At 39.8% G+C, this 22150-nt stretch overlaps 1 protein-coding gene across 17 annotated transcripts in view, besides 6 other annotated features; it reads right to left on the bottom strand.

Moving 5' to 3' along the window:
• AUTS2 (activator of transcription and developmental regulator AUTS2) overlaps window positions 1-22150 on the bottom strand; it is a 1195032-nt gene that overhangs the window by 1107297 nt on the left and 65585 nt on the right. The window lies entirely within an intron of this gene.
• Window positions 2878-2927: an enhancer, noted in NCBI's record as "active region_26099". NCBI's record gives its function as "activates an Ori minimal core promoter by ATAC-STARR-seq in GM12878 lymphoblastoid cells {active_cell/tissue: GM12878}" and the evidence as "EXISTENCE:reporter gene assay evidence [ECO:0000049][PMID:35858748]".
• Window positions 2878-3297: a biological region, named in NCBI's record as "Sharpr-MPRA regulatory region 1350".
• Window positions 2893-3187: a silencer, noted in NCBI's record as "tiled region #1350; K562 Repressive non-DNase unmatched - State 24:Quies". NCBI's record gives its function as "represses a minimal TATA promoter and a strong SV40 promoter by Sharpr-MPRA in K562 cells {active_cell/tissue: K562}" and the evidence as "EXISTENCE:reporter gene assay evidence [ECO:0000049][PMID:27701403]".
• Window positions 3078-3137: an enhancer, noted in NCBI's record as "active region_26098". NCBI's record gives its function as "activates an Ori minimal core promoter by ATAC-STARR-seq in GM12878 lymphoblastoid cells {active_cell/tissue: GM12878}" and the evidence as "EXISTENCE:reporter gene assay evidence [ECO:0000049][PMID:35858748]".
• Window positions 3158-3297: an enhancer, noted in NCBI's record as "active region_26097". NCBI's record gives its function as "activates an Ori minimal core promoter by ATAC-STARR-seq in GM12878 lymphoblastoid cells {active_cell/tissue: GM12878}" and the evidence as "EXISTENCE:reporter gene assay evidence [ECO:0000049][PMID:35858748]".
• Window positions 3338-3407: an enhancer, noted in NCBI's record as "active region_26096". NCBI's record gives its function as "activates an Ori minimal core promoter by ATAC-STARR-seq in GM12878 lymphoblastoid cells {active_cell/tissue: GM12878}" and the evidence as "EXISTENCE:reporter gene assay evidence [ECO:0000049][PMID:35858748]".

Here is a 22150-nt window from a genome sequence, read left to right as displayed (position 1 = left end):
TTCATATCCCTTCCTACTTGGGAAACTATCTCCTGGGGAAATTCATTTTATCACAGCACTATGAGAAAATTATTTCTTATATTGGCATAAAATTTATCTTTGGTATAACCTACACCCAGCAATCTTTGTTCTCACTCCATGGTTCCATACATGAAGTCTAATATCCCTCCTTCCTGACAGTAGCCTCCTAAATATTTGAAAACAGAAGGCATGGACTCCCTTGTTCTCTCTTACCCACACGGCCTTCATGTTTTCAGACCTACCTCTGGTCATCTTGGTCATTTCCTCTAAAGATTATTGTTTTATCTGGGTCTGAACTCAACACTCCAAGACAGTCTCTACAACAGAGTAAAAAGGCATGGATTGGCCATGTGTGGTGGCTCATGCCTGTAATTCTAGCACTTTAGGAGGATCACTTGAGCTCAGGAATTCCAGACCAGCCTGAGCAACATAGTGAGACATTGTCTCTATTTAAAAAAAAAAAAAAAAAGGGCATGGATCCTTTCTTTAGATACTCTACTTCTACCATTGCAAACTCAGACTAAAGCAGTACTTTATATGAATGCTGTTGGTAAAACCTTTTGTCTGAAAATCATCTGCTCTCAGAAAATATGGCACTATCCTTGAGGCCTGTTTCCCTACTAACTTCAATTCTAATCTTCAGAAATTTCTGTAGTCCACAACTACTTGTTTACCTGGACAAATAGCTTAGTTTGTCTAAGACTAGATGGTGGCCAAACAGGAAGTGGGGAAAAGTAGGGTTCATTATTAATTGTCTGTGGTAGAGAGGTGGCAAACTGGAAGGAATAGAGAACTGTGACCTACTTTCAATTTTCTCTATATTCCAAAATGAACAGGCTCCTATCCAGTCAGAGTAGTCACAGAAACGTCTAGAACTGAGCCTTGGAGGAAAAGCAGGCTTTAGATAGAGAAAAAGACAAGATCATTTCATGCCCCAAAATGATCTGAGCAGAGGTGCAAAGGTGAGGAAGCCTCCAGCAAGTTACAGGAACAGGGAGTCAACCACTGTGGCTTGAGCAATGTAGCCACATGGAGCTGCCTTAGGGAGAGAGCCTGAAAAGAGGCTGGACTCACAGCACAGAGGCCCTCCCTTAAAAGCCAGGCTACTGAGTATATCTTTCAGCCCAGAAGCGGTGTGGAGTCACTAAAGTTTTTAAGCAGGAGAGTAAAATGATGAAAGCTGAATTTTAGAAACAATATGAGTCCCTGTACACACCAGGCACGTAATCAATGAGGTAGTCTGAACATACAGATTTTAACTGCCAGGAAAGACGCATCTTGTGACCTAAAACTTACAGAAAAACCACTCCCCTAGTAAAATCCATCTCACAACAACTCACTTTATCCTTTTAATTTAATTAAGTGCAAAGAAAGAAAAGGAAACAAGGAATGAGGCTCAGACACACTAACATTGTCTCTAATGTCTCTAAGACTCTCATGTCCTTCCTAAATCAAAATACATATTCCACAGTAAGCTAAAAGATATAAAAGCATTAAATATTTACTCTTCCCATTTGCTATTATTTTTCGCTAGTTACTCAGCTGTAACAGTCATTAACATGCTGAAAAGGAACTTCATGTAAATTCATCACTGGTCTGGGAATACTGGAGCTCTGATGTACTGGCTGCAAGCTACACCCGGCTCAGAGGCGCCATTTCCCTACAGTCAGGGCCAAATGTCTGGTTCACTCACAATTTACAAATGATTATTTTTCTAATTAATCATTCATCAAAAAACATAAACGGCAACAGGGTGTGAAGACAGTGCTAGCAAAAAAACAGAACGGGGCAGAGATCCATCAATCCCTCCCTCATGAACCAGGGCAGCAAGCTCATGAAAGAAGGCTCCTAGGCCTGTGGGAGCTGCTATCTCAGAGAAAACCTTGACCCTGTCCCAAGGTGCAAGTGCCCCTCAGGCACTCAGGAAGGGGCAGTCTACCTCACATGTGGATTATCAAAACAGCCTCCTAGTCTCTCCTTTCTCCAGTTGCTCCTTTAATGCCCACCTAATCACCTCCCCATGACTCTTCCTCCCCAAGACACAAAGCTGTTAAAATACTTCTCCTCAAAGGTCTTCATCATGCCCTAAGAACCTACAGGGCTGTTTCCAATCTCAAGATGGCTGAGTCTTAGAACTTGCAAAGCCCTTAAGCATCCCCTGATCTGGGCCCTTCATTTTATAGCTGGAGAAAATCAGATTTAGGGAGGTTCCATTATGTCCGCCATTATCTCTTGAACATGACTTGAGAACATTTGTTTTGTTTTTTGTTTTTTGACACGGAGTCTCATTAACTCTACTGCCCAGGCTGAAGTGCAGTGGCACAATCTCGGCTCACTGCAACCTCCACCTCCCAGGTTCAAGTGATTCTCCTACCTCAGCCTCCCAAGTGGCTGGGATTATAGGCGTGTACTACCATGCCAGACCAATTTTTGTTTTTTGGTTTTTTTTTTAGTAGAGACAGGGTTTCACTATGTAACAGGCCAGGCTGATCTTGAACTCCTGGCCTCAAGTGATCCACCCGCCTCAGCCTCCCAAAGTGCTGGGATTACAGGTGTGAGCCATTGCGCCCAGTCTCGTTTTTTGGTTTTGGGTTTTTGGGGGTTTTTTAGACACAGGGTCATAGTTTTTGCTCTGTCACACAGGCTGGAGTGCAGTGGCACAATCATGGTATTACAGGAGTTATTAAGAATTATTTTAAGCAGATAGAGAGGGTAAAAGAGTCCTCGGTGAGGCTTTTTCTTTTACTGAAAAAGCAGCCCCCAAAACATTTCTTTTCTAACAGAAAGCAGACTGAAAAACCAGACCTGCAAGCATTGATATGCAAATGCAGGCAACTAAAAGCCAGGTCCACCCAGTATGGCGGTTCCTGCCACTTTTTGTTGCCACGTGTGCAGGACATCATGGCGACCAGCCAGGTAGAGACTATGTGGGCAGGACATCATGGCAACCAGCCAGGTAGCTGCGTTTGCATATTAAAAGACTAGGATAGGAGGGCCAGTTTTTCATGGGCTATGTGAATGACAAGCCTGGTCAAACCAATCCCCTGGGCCCTATACAAATCAGATACCGCCTCATCCAGCCTCCCAATATAACCTACGGCATTCCCCCCAGCAATGGGGGTTTTCCGTTCTGAGCCCTCTTCCCTCTGTACGGTGGAGCTGTTTTCTTCTTTCTTGCCTATTAAACTTTCCGCTCCTTAAACCACTCCATGTGTATCTATGTTGCTGATTTTCTCAGCACGAGACCAGAGACCCTGGGTGTTTCTCCAGACAACGGAGCCATATCAATGGCTCACTACAGCCTCAAACTCTTGGGATCAAGTGATCCTCCCACCTCAGCCTCCCAAAGTGCTGGGACTGCAGGCCACACCAGCTTGGGACTGCAGGCCGAACCACCATGGCTGGCCTTGAGAACTTTTCAAGCAGAGGTTTTGTTTCTGAATAAGTCTTTCGCTCTCTGCCTCTGTATTAAGTAACAGAACTGCCAACAGCTGAGTAACTGCACAACTGCTGCTACCGACCAGAAGGCAGACATATAAAATATCTACTCACCTTTGAAAAGACTGTCTAGGTTTCAAATATGTAAATCAATAAAGAGACAAATATTAAGCCTTAAGAGTATGAGTATTGAAGAGGCTAGTATTAGTACTAAGTCACAGTTCTAAAAAACTATAGACATCCAGTGTTTTCATACCACCAGGATTACACAGCTAGAAAATGATCTTACTCAGGTCACCCTGGAAGGCTGTTTATAAATGGGCAAAGAGGTCAGGAAGAGTTCTTACCAGATTCTAACATTAGAACCCACTCAGGCCCCACAGTCATTAAGTGTAGGACAACATGCCAGGCCAGGAAGTACTAGGCTCTAAACACGACACTGAAGTTTTAATCCCAGCCATATAAAGCATAATCTCTACTGTTCAGTTTTTCTAACTGTGTAATAGGTATATCCTCCCCACCTACAAAGAAACATTACAGGAAATAGTATCTTCAGAAAGTCTAAAGCTACCCAAATGTGGAGTATGACCAAAATGGAAGATGACCTCACTCATTTACCACCATCATAATTAGCATATTATATGATAATTAAGAGTTTAATGAGTGCTTACTATGGGCTAGACACATGCAAAGCACTTTACAGGCATTAACTCACCTAAGTCTCACAAACGTATTATTATTTCCATTTCACAGATGGAGAAACTGTGAAACAACAGTTTGTTACATTCTCCAAGGTCACACATCTAGTAAATGGAGGATTTGAACCCAGGCATTCAGACTCACTGATAGCACTCAATTGCCAAGGTCTCCATCCTCGTCACTTAGTATTTGGGGCAGTTAAAGAGTAAGAAAAGAAAAAGGAGACATTTAACAAAAAAACCGAACTATCTGGTGCAAAAAGAAATCCAGTCTATCAAATAATTACACGAAGCTACACACAGTATATTTTTTAGATGCCTGGATTCTACAACAAACAATAAGATTTTGGAACAAATTAAGAAATAGAGAGAAGCATAACCACCTCATCTACAGATGACAATGGCAGGGAACAGAGTGGAGGTAACTTGCCTAAGATCACTCATAGCAATTGCAGCCTAAGTCTATCAACACCCAGGCCAACATTCTATGCGTAAGTCAGTGCCAACCTATAGGCCCTGGTCCAGCAGTATGACCTTAACAAAAATAATTAGCCAGTCCCGAGGAGTCTGAAGAAGCTTGGAACAGGCCACCCTAATCTTCAAAGCTGCCCTGTTCTGTATGTAGCCACTCTGTCAGTCTGGAAGGGGCTGTTTAAAAGACTGGGGAACATGTGCACTGTTGGTGACACTGCAAAATGGTATGACTCCTATAGAAAGCAGTACAGAGGTTCCTCAAAAATTAAAAATAAAACTGCCATATGATCCAGCAATCCCACACTTCCAGGTACATATGCAGAAGAAGTGATAGCAGGATCTTGAAGAGAAATTTGCACACTCGTGTTCATAGAAGCACTAATTCACAATAGCCAAGAGGTGAAAACAACTCAAATGTCCATCACAGGATAAGGAGATAAACAAATGTGGTATATACATTCAATGGAACAGTATTCAGTCTTAAGAAAGAAAATTCTGTCATATGGTACATGAACTTTGAAGACATTGTGCTAAGTGAAATAAGTCAGTCACAAAAAGACAAATACTATGTAATTCCATTTAGATGAGGTATCTAAAATACTCAAATTCAGCTGGGTGTGGTGGTTCATGCCTGTAATCCCAGCACTTTGGGAGGCTGAGGCTGGCGGATTACTTGAGGTCAGGAGTTCAAGGCCAGCCTGGCCAATATGGTGAAACCCTGTCTCTACTAAAAATACAAAAATTAGCTGGGTATGGTGGCGCGAGCCCGTAATCCCAGCTACTCAGGAGGGTGAGGCAGGAGAATCACTTGAACCTGGGGGATGGATGCTGCAGTGAGCCGAAACCATACCACTGCACTCCAGCCTGAGCAACACAGAGAGCCCGTCTCAAAAAATAAAAAATAAAATAAAATACTCAGATTCATAGAAAGAGAAATGAGAATGGTGCTTACCAGGGGCTGGAGGGAACAAGGGAGGGGAGTTGTTGTTTAAGGGGTATAGAGTTTCATATTCACAAGATGAAAAATTTCTGGAGCTCTGTTTCACAATGAAATGACTATACTTAACACTACTGAAGTATCTACACTTTAAAATGGTTAAGATGGTACACTTTGTAATATTTTTTTAACACAATAAAAAACAACAATGATAATGCGTGTATGCTAGCACACATGCACAATAAGTAGATAAAGACAGGCCTAGGGACAACTCATCTTAAGTAGCTGTTTAAAGTGATTTCATGCAAGTAATTGAATCAGACAGTATATTTGCCACCTGGATTATAACTGCTAAACAAAATGCTCAAAAGCCAATTCTGACAATCCCTACCTATGTAACCATACTTAAGTATTCATAAATGAATCAATGAATGACTTGAATCAATGGATTACTTCTGAAAAACAACTACTATAGGATTTCTATTTAGTATAAGGCAGCATGCCTAAACCCACTTCATGATAAGAATAACATACACGTGCCATTAAATTTTTCCAATGTAACAGGAAAAAAAGTCAATGCTCTTCCAAAACACATCTAACTAAAAAATGTAGTATCTATGTAGAGACAAGTATATAATGTTAAAAGAAAACAACTGTTTAGTCAAGAAATGGTAATTCTTATAAGTTTTTTTAAAGGAAGAAAAGGGGACTGATTTCATTCAAAGGTCCTTGTGTGTCACAAAAGTTAAAAAAAAATTTTCTCAAATGTCTAAATTCAACCAAGTAAGGCAACACTCAACCATTTCATCCAGTTAAAATAAATAAAACTAAAAATCTATTCCATAGATGATGTATGTAACTGACATTTGCTTCTACTCCCCAAAATAAATTATTACTGACATGAAATATACAATCACATATCTTACAAGCCCAAAACATAGAAATGCAAAAGTACACACAGTCTTCTCTTTCCTGATTTCTTCCAAATGTAGATCATTCCCAGAAGTATTTTTTTCATTATTTAAAACTATCAATCTAGAAAGATTTCAATGCAGACAGAGTTATTTTTTTACATTTGAAATGTCTGCCGAACAATCTACCAGGTATCACACATCATCATTTATTTCCATAAAATCAACACAAATTTTAAAATGCAATAGCTAAGTTTACTGAACACTTAGTTATAACTGCCTCAATATTAACTAAACAATTCTCAGAGCTGCCTTATAAGGTAAGACCTGGAATCCCCATTTTATAGGTAAGATAACTGAGGCATGTAGCTAAGGCATTGTTGAGCCTGAATGTAAATCCTGGCAGACTGGTTCCAGAACCCATGCTATTATATTAACCACTACCAATACTATCGCCCATTAATGTACATGAAAGACACTGACACACTGGTCAATTCTTCTGTAACTCCAGGAAATGGTCCTACAGAGAGAACTAAAGAGAAACTACGAATGCCAAACATTCTGGCCTTGGCCAGTCACAATCTCTCTAGCTTTGTTTTTCTTATTGTGAAGTAAGTTTAAAAAATCCAACACCTGATAATATAGTTGGCTGGAAACAAAACCCAGCAAAAATATACACATATACTTCACTATGGCGACAGCATGGCCAATTACTCTCCTGATATCTCCCTTCTTCCACTTCCAATCTAGAGACAGGCCTTCCTTTGCCAAACATACTTTCCCATCCCCACAAAAGTAATTCTACAGCAAAACGTGCAGCATTATCGGCAAAAGCTAAACAGAAGGAGTCAGCATCTCTCTTCTAAGCCATGTCCCTGTCTGAAATATAATACAGTGGGCAAGTTGTTTCTCTGAAATAGATGGATCTATGGTTTGAGGGCAGCACAGAGCGTAAATCTGTCTCCATGAATGGCTCACGCCGTGTCTTTCTCGTTTTGTGTGCTATTGTGTGCTATCTGGCAATATATCTGTCACAGCTCTACTTCCTCCCTTCCACAAGAACAAAAGTTGAGAGAGATTGGAAATACAACCCCAGGCACAGCCTTATAAAGGCCACAATTGAGTTTCTGAAAACTCCAGGCCAACTCTAGGCAAAGCACCAGTTCAGCCTGTCTGTACACGAGGCAATTTGGTTAAGTAATAACACCATTTCGCCATGATTTTTGTTCCGCTCACAACAGAAATCATATCAGAGAAACCACGACTTACCATAAAATTATTTTAAAAAGAGAAACTTGATTCTGATATCCAAATAGAATATAAATTCTGCTTTTACACACGCTGGTCCCATCTGTAACACCCAGAAGTCAATTCAAGAGGCTGTAGACAGTGAAGGGATAACTTCAGATTTCCCTTGAAATGTTTTTGCAGCCTCAGCAGAAATTCAAAATGCCAGTAGTGTTGCTCTCAGTGTCTCTGTTCTGGCCCCCAAGACCCACAGGCCTGGCTTCCTCCAAGAAATGCTTGCATGAGGATCAAGCAGGGGACGAGTTTTTCCTGTGCCTGTCAGAAAGAATACTGGCCTTTCAGATGAGCACTTCCAGATTTCATAGGTCAGCCTGAGAACTTAAAACACTATTACAAAATCATTGTCCTTCAGCCCCAAGCATCTTAAAAGTAATTTATCAGCAGCATCACTGCCAACCTTACCCCAAGAGCTTGCTTTGGCATAACAACTGTTCAGGGTCTCAAAATGGGCTTTTCCAGAGAACTCGTAGAGGTCCCTGTGTTTAAATTACTGATCCCAAAACTCAAAATAGAATCTCAGCCCATTTGAAAACTGCACTTATAAAAACCACCATTTAGGCTCAAAGCTATGTAATTTGCAAATGCTCCTGCTTCTGTCTAAGTTTGCTTTTGGTGCTTAAAATCCAGCCAAAGGATGGAATTTAATACAACTACAAAATTAACAACAGATGGCCTAGTACATTTAACCTAGAGGAGTAAACAATGTGAGCGATGTCTCCAAAAAATAAATCTCCCCAGGAAGGCTATAAGAATATCTGAAAAACACCAAAATAAAAACTGGTGACTTCAAAAACGAAACTCAAACCCAGATTAGATCATCATGTAAGCATTACCATTTCCCTAACAATAAGTGTCAGTTTCTCCTTTCATCCACGTAGACCTTTTGTTAAGGACAAGATACCATCTTTTTTCCTCACTCTTCAACAACTTTCTCATCCTATAGAAGGGAAACGCTGGCAAAGGCTGGGTTAATGCTGGGGTTTCCAGTTAAGCACTATAGTTTTACAACAGTACAAAAATAACCAATTTTCAAACTATCAGAACACAATAAAAGATATTCAGCATGAACTTTAATATAATGTAGCTTTCCTTTGAAGACCCTGGAAAACTTGTACCTTGGATTTGTTGCCAGAAACATCAGTTATCACTATTAGTCAAGGTAGAGTGATGGGCAGCTCAGAGACCAGTAGGGGGCCACTAACTAAATCTTAACATCAAGCACCTCACTTCTCTGGGCTTTTGGCTGTCTTTATTTATAAAGAATGGTACACAGAGACTCTCTAAACTCTATCAGCTCTGACAGCCTATATTTCTTCAGAAACCCTTATACTCAAAAAGCTCCATTTAACAAGACATCCAAATAGATTAGATTTTCTATCTCTCTTCAGAAATTTTCTATCAGCTGATAATTCCCAAGGAATCTCCATAAACAGGCACCAAAATTGTCCACTGTTAAAATGAATGATGAGAAGCTGTGTGTTCTTGAAAAGCATCTACATATGAAACATAATGCACTTCCTTTACCCTTCTGTGAAAAAAATCTACTTCAATATATGAAGCATGGTCAGAAAACAGTTTCAGAATACTTTAAAAAAAAAAAAGAAAAAAGAAAAAAACCAGAGTTTCAGGAATAAATAAGAATTTAGGGCTGGCAGGTAGGGAGCCTATCCACTGAAAAATTAACTAAAAAGAGAAGTAAGATTTCCACAGAATACTGAAAAGTAATCATCGTTTATTTTCAGTTTTTCCTCCCCAAGATGGACATATGGCTATAGAGGCACAAAAATGTCTTACCATTCTAATATTTAAATTGTCAGACTTACTTAAGTCACACTTATTTAAGTCAAGATACCTTGCCATAGTTGACTTAAACCAAATTGTGAAGCATAAGACCTCCATTTCTTTATCTTCCCCCAGACCAAGACCTGAAAAGTTACAAGAGGTGGCTCAGGACTCAGTTTATAGTCATTTCTAGAAACATCTGCATTTTAAAAAGAGCAAACCAGGACATGGCCTTGCCTCAGCAACTCTCTAAATGCATAAAGACTTTAAAGAAAGTGATCTCAATGGAGGGGAGAGAAAAGGTTTGTTCAGAGATGCTAACATCCCAGGATACAGGTTTAGATTGCTACAAAAGCCACCCTAGGTAGTCTCAGGGCCATACCTAAGGGTCTACAACTAGTTCCTTTGAATCCCCAAATGCTTCATCTCCCTTCTAATATTCTGTAAGGTATATTACACACTGATGTGACTACAAATAATTTCTTATTTTTAGAATGTCATGCCATCCTTCTGAATAACTGGAGATATTTCTGAACACCAGAACCTTTGGTTCAGGAATTGCCAACTCAACTCCTTAGGTATGCACAGACTGGGATCCAAGCAGGTTCTACCTTCTCTTTCAGTCTTCCTGTCTACCTGCAGCTTACCAATATAATACCTTCTACAAGCACATGGATGATCTGCCAATATATAATGTAAAAATTATTTTAAAATGTACTCCTCACACTTAGTTTCCCGGTCTGCGAAATGATGTCAGTCCTCAGATGTGAATATATATACATACAAGTACACACATCATGGGACTGTGGGTGCAAAGAGTCAAACCTCAGCCAAGGCCGGACACAGTGGCTCACACCTGTAATCCCAGCACTGTGGGAGGCCAAGACAGGAGGACCACCTGAGGTCAGGAGTTCGAGACCAACCTGGCCAGCATAGAGAAACCCCGTCTCCACTAAAAATACAAAAATTAGCCAGGTGTGGTGGCGCACACCTGTAATCCCAGTTTCTTGGGAGGCTAAGGCAGGTGAATGTCTTGAACCCGGGAGGCAGAGGTTGCAGAGATGAGACCACACCACTGCACTCCAGCCTGGGATACAGAGCAAGACTCCATCTCAAAAAAAAAAAAAAAAAAAAACCCTCAGCCAAAACCACCCTGAGAAATGATCACAGCACAGTACAGTATTCTGCTGGGTGGAGAAGGATCAAGTCCTAGAGAGATTTAGGTGTCTAGATGAATCTGTTAAAAATCTTAAAAAGTTTCACTAGTCCTGGAGACAAAATACGTTAGTATATTATTAGAATAAATTTGTAAAATTATTTTTTAAAAGCAACAATGGAAACAAATAGCAAGATTCAAGTTTCATGTACGTCTAAAAAAGTTCTAATATAAAAGCCAGCTTCTCATCAAGGAAGTAGGCCACATACAGAAAAAAAGGTCAGGATCTCACACTTAGGCTATTTAAAAGAGGTTAGTGCTACCAGAGACTCCTTATTGATTTGGTAAGATTCCCAGAGCAGAGAAGCAGGGACTTTCTCCCTCTGTCTTGTTGCCAAAGTGAAAGCACTATCAAGGGTAAACTGTGGTCAGACCAGTTTCACCTCTTTTAAAGAGCTACACCATTGTCAACTGTCAGTCACAGGGTTAAAGACACCAGACTAACATATTAACAAATGCAACCAACTAAAGAAAATACACAGGAGCCCAAATTATAGGATGCTGTGCACACACTTCGGAATCTGTTCCTGCAGTACGCCTTCTGTCCTGACCCACGTTTCTTGTCCCTCTCACAGCCTCACCACAGAGCATTCAGCTTGACTACTCTTTTCCCTAGCCATCTGACCTGCAATCAAAGCACACAGGCCACACCAGAGGAACTGTGATAAAACAGTTCATCCTCACCACACACTGAATACCTCAATTTCATTATGCCTGCCACGGTTATTTGATTCATTTTTGCCCAATAAATTAAAAATAACTGATTAGATTCTCAGCCCTTATTCCCTACCCACCCACCCATGCCCCTGTGATGAACTCTCAGGCATGACAGCCATAGAATAATAATTTAATAGCTATTATTATTAAAATTACAATAACAACCAACATATATTAAGTGTTTACAATGTCTCAGGCACTGCTCTAAATAATTTAGAAGTGTTGATACATTGACATGGTGGAGACTCCAATCATCTCCATCTCACAGGTAAGGACAGTAAGCACAGAGAAGTTAAGGTCCCACAGCTCAAGAGTCAGACCAGCACCCAGATCCAGGCAGTCTCCAGAGCCCCTGGTCTTAACCACTATGCCACTCCAGTTCTCAAGAGAGGCAGCCAGAATGGAAGACAAACAGCCTCCAGAGAAGGTACCTGAGAAATTTTTGTCCACTTGCCTATTCCAGGAATTGCTCATGAAATTGCTTTTTTGTCTGTTACATAATGAAGTTTCATAAACAACAAGTACAGAATCAGTGAAATGGTCAGGGAGACAAAATGGCACTCTTTTCAGGCTTGTCCCAGACACACTGGGAGGCTTGTCCCAGACACAGTGGGAAACCTCTGTCACTCTCTAAATGTGCCTTTGCAAAACAGGAGCAAGACTTCCTGGTGCTGTTTTACCTGTTAAATGGCAAATACATAAATTAAATATTTGCAATATTTTTAAAAGATTACATATTTAGAAAAATATATAAACTCACTTAGGAAGTTAAAGCATCTATGAAGAAAAGTTTGTGTCTAAACAAAACAATCACTAAACCCTTATTTCAGACTTCTGGGTTTCAATAACAGATTCTCATTTTTGGCTTAATAGTCCACATCAATCTCCTTTTCCCTGGAGCACATGGTGGAATAGAAACTAATGTCAAAAAGTTGATGTGACTTCTGATGTAAGTAACCCACATCAAACCCCAGTACTATTAGTTGGCAAAGTTACCCCATAATTATAAGACCTTTCTACCAATAAGGAATTCAGACTATTGACAGAAACACAAATATAGCCTGATTCTATCCTGATTTTAGGGCCAACTTCTTAATGAGAATCTTCCCTCTTGTTACAAGCAACTTGTGTGAACACAAACTTGCCCATGGACATTGGTGAGGCTGGCTTCTGGATAAGTGAAGGAAGCAATAGGCCTGAACATCCATGATTATTCCTTAACAGGTTTCTATCTCTCCGTTAGGCCCCTAAATATACATGGCAGAAAGCAGAACAAAACTGTCTTTAGCGCCATAGAATAACTGCCACATAGGCAGACCATCTTTCTAGGTTCAGGGAATAAGGTCATATGAGGATCAGGGCTCCCTTTAATACAATCCCCAGCCAGCCTGTCATTCTCTTTCTTTACTTACTAAAAGTACCAGGAACAGGCCTGCCAAATTTCCTTTTTTAGCACCACAATCTCTTGCCTTAACCAGACAGTCTCCTTCTGTGCCCCACTAAAGCACAGAATACAATCCCCATATCTAAAAACACACAGTCCTTTCCAAAAAAAATTTTTTTAAGTATCTAGGGCTAGTAACAACAGGGAAACATAAAAGTAGGAAAAAGGGCATAAGCTAAATTATCTAATGAAAGCATTTACCATGATTTGAATCTAGGAAAAAACTCTAGAAACATGATGGGTCTAAATACAGTCACTCTGAACTATGAATTGAAATAACAGCCACTGAATGGTCACCCAAAAGCTAGTACAAAATGAGTTATTGGCAGTCCACAAATTCCCAGTGGTTCCCAACATAGCCAAGCCCAAAAATCACAACTGGCATTTTGCTGCCCTCTCCAGCAAAGAACTAAATCAATTCATGTGTCTAATCCTTGAACCAGATATGCCAGAACCAAGAAAGAGAAGATGCCAACAGGGAAGACACTGAACTCTCAAGACAGCACTGGCATCTCCATCCCTGGGTCTCTAGGATTCTGGCCAACAAATTGTGCCACAATATCACTGGAAACCTTTCAGGGAGAGATGTCAGCTCCCAGCTGAGATAAAGAGTATTTGTGGTAGACTGCCTGAGGACAGGTAGCTTATCCTCTCCTCGACATGTTCTAAAAATTGTCCTTGGCTCAAGCCAGTCCTTTGAGCTATCTAGGTGAGACACATGATCTTGACCCCTTATAGTTACTCTTTCCTGAAATCATGCTTTGTCTCAGTGTTATTAATTTGCATTGACGGTATAAAAGCAACTGTTCACAAATCACCGTTGTGTGTATTGATAAGTATATCCAAGATAGAGTTCATGGACACATCTTCTCCATTGACAAAGTTTCTCAAGAAAAGTTAGTTCCAGCAGGGCACAGTGGCTCACATCTATAATCCCAACACTTTGGGAGGCTGAGGCGGGTGGATCACCTGAGGTCGGGAGTTCGAGATCGGACTGACCAACATGGAGAAACCCCGTCTCTACTAAAAATACAAAATTAGCCAGGCATGGTGGTGCATGCCTGTGATCTCAGCTACTCAGGAGGCTGAGGCAGGAGAATTGCTTGAACCTGGGAGGCGGAGGTTGCAGTGAGCTGAGATCGTGCCACTGCACTTCAGCCTAAGCAACAAGAATGAAACTCCATTTCCAAAAAAAAAAAAGAAAAAGAAAAGTTACGTTCCCCTCTTTGTTCTACTCTCTGGGAAGCTGAATATGGGACCCCCCCTCAACCTACTGCCTCAGACCCTGCCTTGCATGTTTCTGCCCAGAAGCCTTAACATGGCTTTATTGTATTTTCCCTACCCATTTCCCAGTGCCCCAATTCCTTTTCTACTTATTTTAATTCTGTTGCATTGTACACATTTTTGTAAGCCAGCTCAAAGATTTTTGTGGAATAACAGTGAAAATAAAATAAAATAAAATAAAATAAAATAGGACAAAAATATCTTAAAAACTAGTATCCTCTACACAAACTGCTGCTTCATCCAAATGACCTTAAAGGAGAGAGACAAAACTAATTGTCCTAAAGGACCAATAGCATCTTCAATATTTTATTCAATAGCCATACCAGTCAGTCATCATTACCAAAAAAACCCTGAGATCCATCCCAAACTTTCACACTTAGATACTAGGGCTGCCAAATCTAAGGTGGTAGAGAAACACAGACAAAGGCACAGAGACACAAAACACACACACACAGACACACACACACACACACACACACACACACACACACACCAGCAGCAGCAGCAGCCAAAACATTTTGTGCTGATCCCTGTTCACTTTTTTTATAATACCTAAGTATCACCTTATAGTACATACTTTCATATATGCTTTCTTAATCTTTCCAACAATGTTGTGAAACAGGCTGAGTAAGTGTTTATTACCCCATTCTACAGAAGACGGAACAGATTTCTTGAGAGATTTGCCCAAGGTTATGCAACTAAATGAGTGCTGGAACCAGGACAGTCACTTAAGGTCTAGAAGTTTCTTCTCCATCAGAATCCTTTTACATGTAGGCATTCCAGGGACACATTAAGAAGGTGGTAGAAGCACAAGCAAATCAAGTAAAAAATGGGCAGCCACACTGCTTAGTTATACTCTAGAGTTTAACTCACACACCTGTCCACTAAACATTTCTTTTTATACTTTGCCAGCAAAAGAACTTACAGCCTCCATTCTTCCAGGTGCCAACATTCTACCTAAAAAATTAGTTTTCCTTTACTTTGGCCTGATTGTGAATGATGCCAGATGTTTCTGGGCCAACAGGTTTTTCTATGCCAAAACATTCCTAACTCGAAACTCAAGCCACAGAAATGTCTATTCAAATAGAAACCCTAAAACGATGCTTTTTTTTTGAGACAGGGTCTCGATCAGTCACCCAGGCTGGAGTACAGTGCTAGTACAATCATAGCTCACTGCAGCCTTGAGTTCCCAGGCTCAGGCGATCCTCCCACTTCAGCTTCCCAAGTAGTTGGAAAGCCACACTTGGCTAATTTTTTAATCTTTTTGTAGAGATAGGGTCTGATTATGTTACCCAGATTGGTAACCAACTCCTGGGTTCAAGCCATCCTCCAGCCTCAGCCTCTCAAAGTGCTGGGATTACACAGCACGTGCCACGGTACCCAGCTGCTTTTTTTTTTTTTTTTTTTTTTTTTTTTTTTTTTTTGAGGGATCAAGTAAAAAACAACCATGTTACTAATGGTTTTGTTTACAGAAGATGAACAGACACACTCTCAATCCCCATCTGATTTCCTGGGATGGGTGAATGCACTTTTCTCCTTTCTTTCACTCTTGAGTCTATTTATACTGCAAAGTTCAGCTGGTGTCTCAAAAAGGAGGAATTTAATTTTTCCCCTCTGCTACAAATTTAATGTTTGAGAAAGGATTGGGTATTAGGATCTTCAAAGGCCCAAGTATCAGAAAAATCACAGAATTTTAGGGCTGGAAAGGACCTCAGCAATATCAGAGAGGAGTTAACACACAGCCCATTCTCTGTCATGCTCATGCTGTGCATGAAAAGGTCATTTCCATTTCTGTTCTAGTCAGGTCTTGCTCACCAAGTTCTGAATTCCAAGACTCAACCTTAAAGAAGAACATACAGTCTGGGGGTGGAAGGGCTGGGGAGGGAGGAAAGCAACAGCCTCTCTGGTACATAAGCTCCTAAATCACCTGTCTAATAATAAAAATCACAGCAAAGTAATCTAAGCAAAAACATTTGGATCCATAAACTCAAGAGTCTATGGACAGACAACATCCCAAACCCTGCTATCCATTATGTCGCCAGGCTGTGAAAGCAGAAACCAGGTCTCCATCTCTATATCCTCAGATCTGGAACAAAGCACCTGGCATACAAATGGTGTTCAATAAATGAGTTCAATAAGTGAATAAATAAAATAACTTCACAGAGAACAATCGAGTATGAAGATGTCAGGGCCATATCCTTCTTACAACAAATGACACACACATGCTTCATAAAAGGAAAAAAAAAGTGAAATTGTTTTCAATTTTCTTTGAGGGGAAAAAAATCATCTTTCAAAAAGCATTTGAAGCCAGAGTTATCTTTCCCAACAAAATGTACCTTTTATGAAATATCTACATACTACATAAAGAAGGGTCCCATTTAGCCTATTTAAATTTTAAATACCTACAAGATAAATACATGTTATTTATAACACATAAATATTAGAAACAAGCAAATGTTAGAGAATACAGGATTGGGCAAATAATATGATATAGCCAAACAATGGTACTCTATATGGCTATTAAAATTAACTCTATAGAATCCTGAAACCTCATGTCAAAATATTACAATATAATAAATCAAAAAGTCAGGTTTGTATATACTTATATATATATACACACACATATATATTGTACATACACATACATACATACATGTATGCATTCTTAAAATCTTAACTCATGGGAGTAGATATACATTATTATTTTTATTTGTCCCCAAAACACTGGGAAGATACATGTCCAAAAAAATTGCGATTATTTCTTAGTGTTAGGATTACTGATAACATTTTCTACTTTGTGCTATTTAGGTATTTTTGAAATTCTTCTCCAGTAAAACATACGTATATAGCAAAATATATTACACATACAGCAGAATGTAGAAAACATGTCTGTTTTTCAGAAGAATTATAAAATGAACACCATTGCAACCACAGGTATGGTTAATAAAGAGAACATTACAGTACCTCAAAAGCCCCCTTGTGTGTCTCTCAATGGTCAAATCTCCCTCACCCCAACCACATCACTAACCTGACTTTTATGTTAATTGCTACTACCAACAAATGATTTTTACATATGTGATCAGAAAAAAAAATGACAGGTTCTTGCCATAGGTATGAAGATGCTGTTCTTATGTGAAGGAAAAAAACACAGTAATTCACTTTTAGTAGAACATGATTTTGGTTATCTTTTCCAGGAATGTACTTGTATCCAATCATACCTCCTACCTCATCTGGTCTAAACATATGGCTGACCATAAGTTAAGAAAGATGGGCAGCATAGGGCTAAAGCTGACTTAATTCCAGTACCATTTTTCTAGCCAAGTGACATAACCAGCCACAAAATAATCTTAACAACAGCTTTGAAGGAACTATAAGCAAATTGGTTGCTAGGTTCATGGGAAAGAGAAAAGATATTTACTCTCTTGATTGACAGGATATCCTCACAAAGATCACCACGTGCTAAAATGTATTTGTCTGCATATTTTAAGTACTGTAAAGTAATAGTGGATGGGTAGTTTCCCTCCTTCTTTCAGTAATGTGGGCCTGTTTTGATAGAGGGTGTGGCACACTACATGTGTACTTTCAAAAATAACTTTTATATACACCTGGCATTCTCAGAAAATATTTTTTGGGAATGACCACTGGGAATTACTAACGCTACATTATAATCATAACTTTCTTCATGATATGAAATTTCACATACCAAAATGGAACCCACACTACCTACATGTATCAAAACCAAGTAGCAAAACAGAACCACAAAAACTGAATAAAAGCAAAATAAGTCAAACTATAATCACCAAGAGCAAGCTAGCCCAACAACAGGGAATATCTGGAACAACCCAATCCCTCCACCCACTGTGTGTCAACTATTAGGAGAGTCACCTGGATGGGCACATCTGTTGACCATTTAAACAGTCATTTGTTGCCTGTCATCATCTGTCATGTGACAGTAAGCCTCAAACAAAAGATGTACTAAACAGCAAAAGGATTATTAGACTTGGTGGTATTTTTGGAAGGCTGCTTGTTGCATCAGAAAAACAAGTAAGATAGGTATAGTGATTTAGCTGATGAACAGAAGTATACACATTGTTTTATGGAGAGGTAGAGGTGGAAGTGAGGCTGTAGAGAGATGGTCAGGAAAACTGTGGGCCTCAGAGGTAGGAGGTTTATCCCAATGGTAATTGCCGCTACTGGATTGGGAATGGGCCCCAGGGGAGCAGAGAGCACATTCAGAAAGGTAATAAAATAGAGAAAAGAACTAGAATAAATGAAGTATATTCCAAACTACTATTACAGCCCCACTGTCAAAATCTTGATTTTGGGCTGGGTGCAGTGGCTCACACCTGTAATCCTAGCACTTTGGGAGGCCAAGGCAGGCAGATCACCTGAGATCAGGAGTTTGAGACCAGCCTGGCCAATATGGCGAAACCCCATCTCTACTAAAAATACAAAAATGAGCCAGGTGTGGTGGCGTGCACCTGTAATCCCAACTACGCAGGAGGCTGAGGCAGGAGAATCGTTTGAACCCAGGAGGCATAGGCTGCAATGAGCCAAGACAACATCTCACTGCACTCCAGCCTGGGCGACAGAGCAAGACTCCATCTCAAAAAAAAAAAAAAAAAAAAACACAACAAAACAAAAGCTTGATTTTGGCACTGCTATGGTTTGAATGTTCATCTGCTCCAAAACTCACATTGAAACTTAATCCTCAATGTAGCAACATGGAGAGATACAGTCTTTAAGAGGTGACTGGGTCATGGGGGCTCTGCCCTGGTGGATTAATGGGTTATTGTGGGAGTAGGGATAGCGGCTTTATCAGAAGAGAGATCTGAACTAGATGTTCAGCCCCCTTGCACATGATGCCCTGTGCCACCTCAGGACTTTGTAGAGTCCCCACCAGTGAGAAGGCCATCACCAGATGTGGCCCCTCAACCTTGGATTTCTCAGCCTCCAACAACTGTAAGAAATAAATTCCTTTTCTTTATATATTACCCATTTTCAGTAGAAAATGGACTGAGCTAGGTACTTCTCCTTCTTGCCAGACATGTACTGTATTTTGTTTTGTTTTGTTTTTGGGGATAGAGTCTCACTCTCTCGCCCAGGCTGGAGTGCAGGGGCATGATCATGACTCACTGCAGCCTCAATATGCTGGGCTCAAGCGATCCTCCCACCTCAGCCTCCCGACTAGCTATGACTATAGGTGTACACCACCACACCCAGGTAATTTTTTATTTTTTGTCAAGATGGGAGTCTTGCTATGTTGCCTAGGCTGGTCTGGAACTCCTGAGCTCAAGCAATCCTCCTGCCTTCACCTCTCAAAGTGTTGGGATTACAGGTGTGAGCCACCCATTAGACTTTACAGGACAGGAACCATACGCATGATTCCTCTTATTGTTTCCTTATCATGGGGAACATGGTGCAATGCCAGTGCCTATTTTCCAATACAGACATATCACGGCTTAGAAGTAAGTAGGTTTTCTGTTTGTTTTATTTTAGAAGTCAGTTTTTAACCAAAGAAGAACCTGTTAAAAGTAGATGAAAAATAATACTCACCAAGCAAAAGAGTAATAGTATTTGATCAACAAGTACTTAGGATGGGTACCTAAAATTGTTTACTGAATTACGATTCGAATTTCCAGGGTAAGGCAATAGTTCTCTTACCTAATTACATAGTATTCATTCATTCACTAAACAAACACATGAGAGTTAGAAGAATGTATACATGTTGGTCAGAAGACAGACATTTTTTCCTCGCTCCAAATTCTTAGAGAAGCTTTTTATATGTGTATGACTGTGTGTACGTATATGTGTAAATATATGTACACATATGTATGTCTGTATATATGCATGTGAGTATACACACACATATATGCATATGTATAATGAAACATTAAGATACCAGATTACTTTTAAGGTTTTACAAAAGCCAGATGTATTATTTGACTATAAAATACTGTATTATTAAATTGAGGGCTCTTACTTTCCATTTACCAAGGACATAGCACTCTAACTCCGTGATGGCAGTTCTCTGAAGAGCCTAAATAATATGGTCCAGGTATGCGCATTTCTAATGGCCTAACTTCACACAATAATAGAAATCAAGAGAGCCTGAAGAAATGAACAGATAGCAACATGCCCAATAAAGCATTTATCTCAAAAATCACTTGTGTAAAGCTGATTTCTGGCAAATATGGCAACCTGTACAATCATAAAATTTATTATTATACTCTGATTATTAACTACTTCAAAAATACTGATTATATGAATAATTTATTCAGAATCTGGTGCTTAACAAGTTAAACAGAAAAATTTAGGGAAGAGAATGATTATACAGAAGGGAAGGCTAACACAGAGCACCGTCTGGGAAGAAACAGCTGGACAAAGTAATGAAGAGACCACATCAGGACTGCAGCTGGAAATCTGGATAGATCACAATGCCGTATGATCCTGACTATGTAAGTGCAAGGCCAATATACTTCTGTGGTTCAGTTTTGCATTCCAGACTCCTACAGCTTTAAACCTGTAAGGACAGCTTATATCAAGTGTCATACAACCTAAAAGGTAAGCTCAGTCTAGTGCCTTAAAAAATGCATCACTACCTAGACATTTAGGACAGCCTGAGTTTTATCATCATTTATGCTGAGCAGTATTAATCTTATCTCTTAAAATATCCTTCTATGGGGTTCAAATACCATCATTACCTTGAATTTATACAGCACCATGACCCAAATCCACAGAGCAAAGTGAAAGGCTTAGGGGAGGAGAGAGGAAAGACATCCCCATCTTTTAACAAAGTGAAGTACATTAGGATGGGGGTACATGTGGAAAGTGGGGAGAGGGAGGAGTGACAGAAATGCAAATCTGTGTATTTCAGGAGCCACAGCTATACACAGTGAAATTTTACCAACCCTGTTTTACCATTTGCAAAATGGGATGTGGTTTTACCAAAGTTAGCCTGATGCCAACCTAAAGAACCTCAAGTAAAGGTGATGCGTCATCCAAATCTTCTCTTTCTTCCCTTTGATTCCAGAACTAACATTTGTACCTATATCCTAAATTAAACCCCTAGAATTTAACAACAATCATTTCATAGTCCCTACTGGCCAACCCCTTCTAATCTAAGGATCTCACACGGTACACCAACACTACTATGAAGCCAGGTGGAAGAAAAAGACAATAAATGTATTCTTGCCATGTTATATCGTTAACCTCTTCAACCTGACAATTTATGACAGGTGCCCAGCTCTAACTAGACTGTCTGAACAGGGGGTTTGGGGCGATGCCTACATAAATGCTTGTGTATAGAATTTGCTTCTGATTTGCAGGTTTTCTTAGTAGTGGCATGAGACACAGGGTACTTTCCACCTACCACTTGCCATGCTTTGCTTGAACAAGCAGAGCTCTGAAAACCACAGCAATATTGCCATGGTTAACGTAAAATATTAATGTCTCATTTGTTCAACAGTTTTGTGGAAATTAAAACTTTTAGGTTAATCATATACTGAACAATTTTAATTAAAACAGTTATAAAACAATTAATTCACAAGAGCTAGCTTGGAACTTTGCCAGCCTTATTGGTTTAATGCATGTAGGCAAAACTCATTTTTTTCCCTTTTGACTTAATGAATGCTAATATGTGACACAAAATATGCATACTAAGCTCCTAATACAGTTAGTCCATCTGGTTTTTCTTGCATTCTCTATTTGTCATTTTTCTTTGATAGCAAAATTGAAAATGAGTTCTCTGTGTTAGAAATGATAATGATGCCATGTGCTGTGCTTCATTAAAAAGTGCTCTCTATAAAAATCTTCCAGGGTGAAATAAACACTTTAAGTACCCTCTTTGTGTTGTCACGTGGCTAGGAGTGAAAGGAAAGACAGGCACACAGACTGAGTCCGGAACCACAACTGCAGTGT

This window comes from Homo sapiens, chromosome 7, assembly GCF_000001405.40.
Source record: "Homo sapiens chromosome 7, GRCh38.p14 Primary Assembly".
NCBI classification, from domain to species: Eukaryota; Metazoa; Chordata; class Mammalia; order Primates; family Hominidae; genus Homo; species Homo sapiens.
The sequence above is the reverse complement of the archived record's forward strand: the minus strand, read 5'-3'. Positions and strand labels throughout refer to the sequence as shown.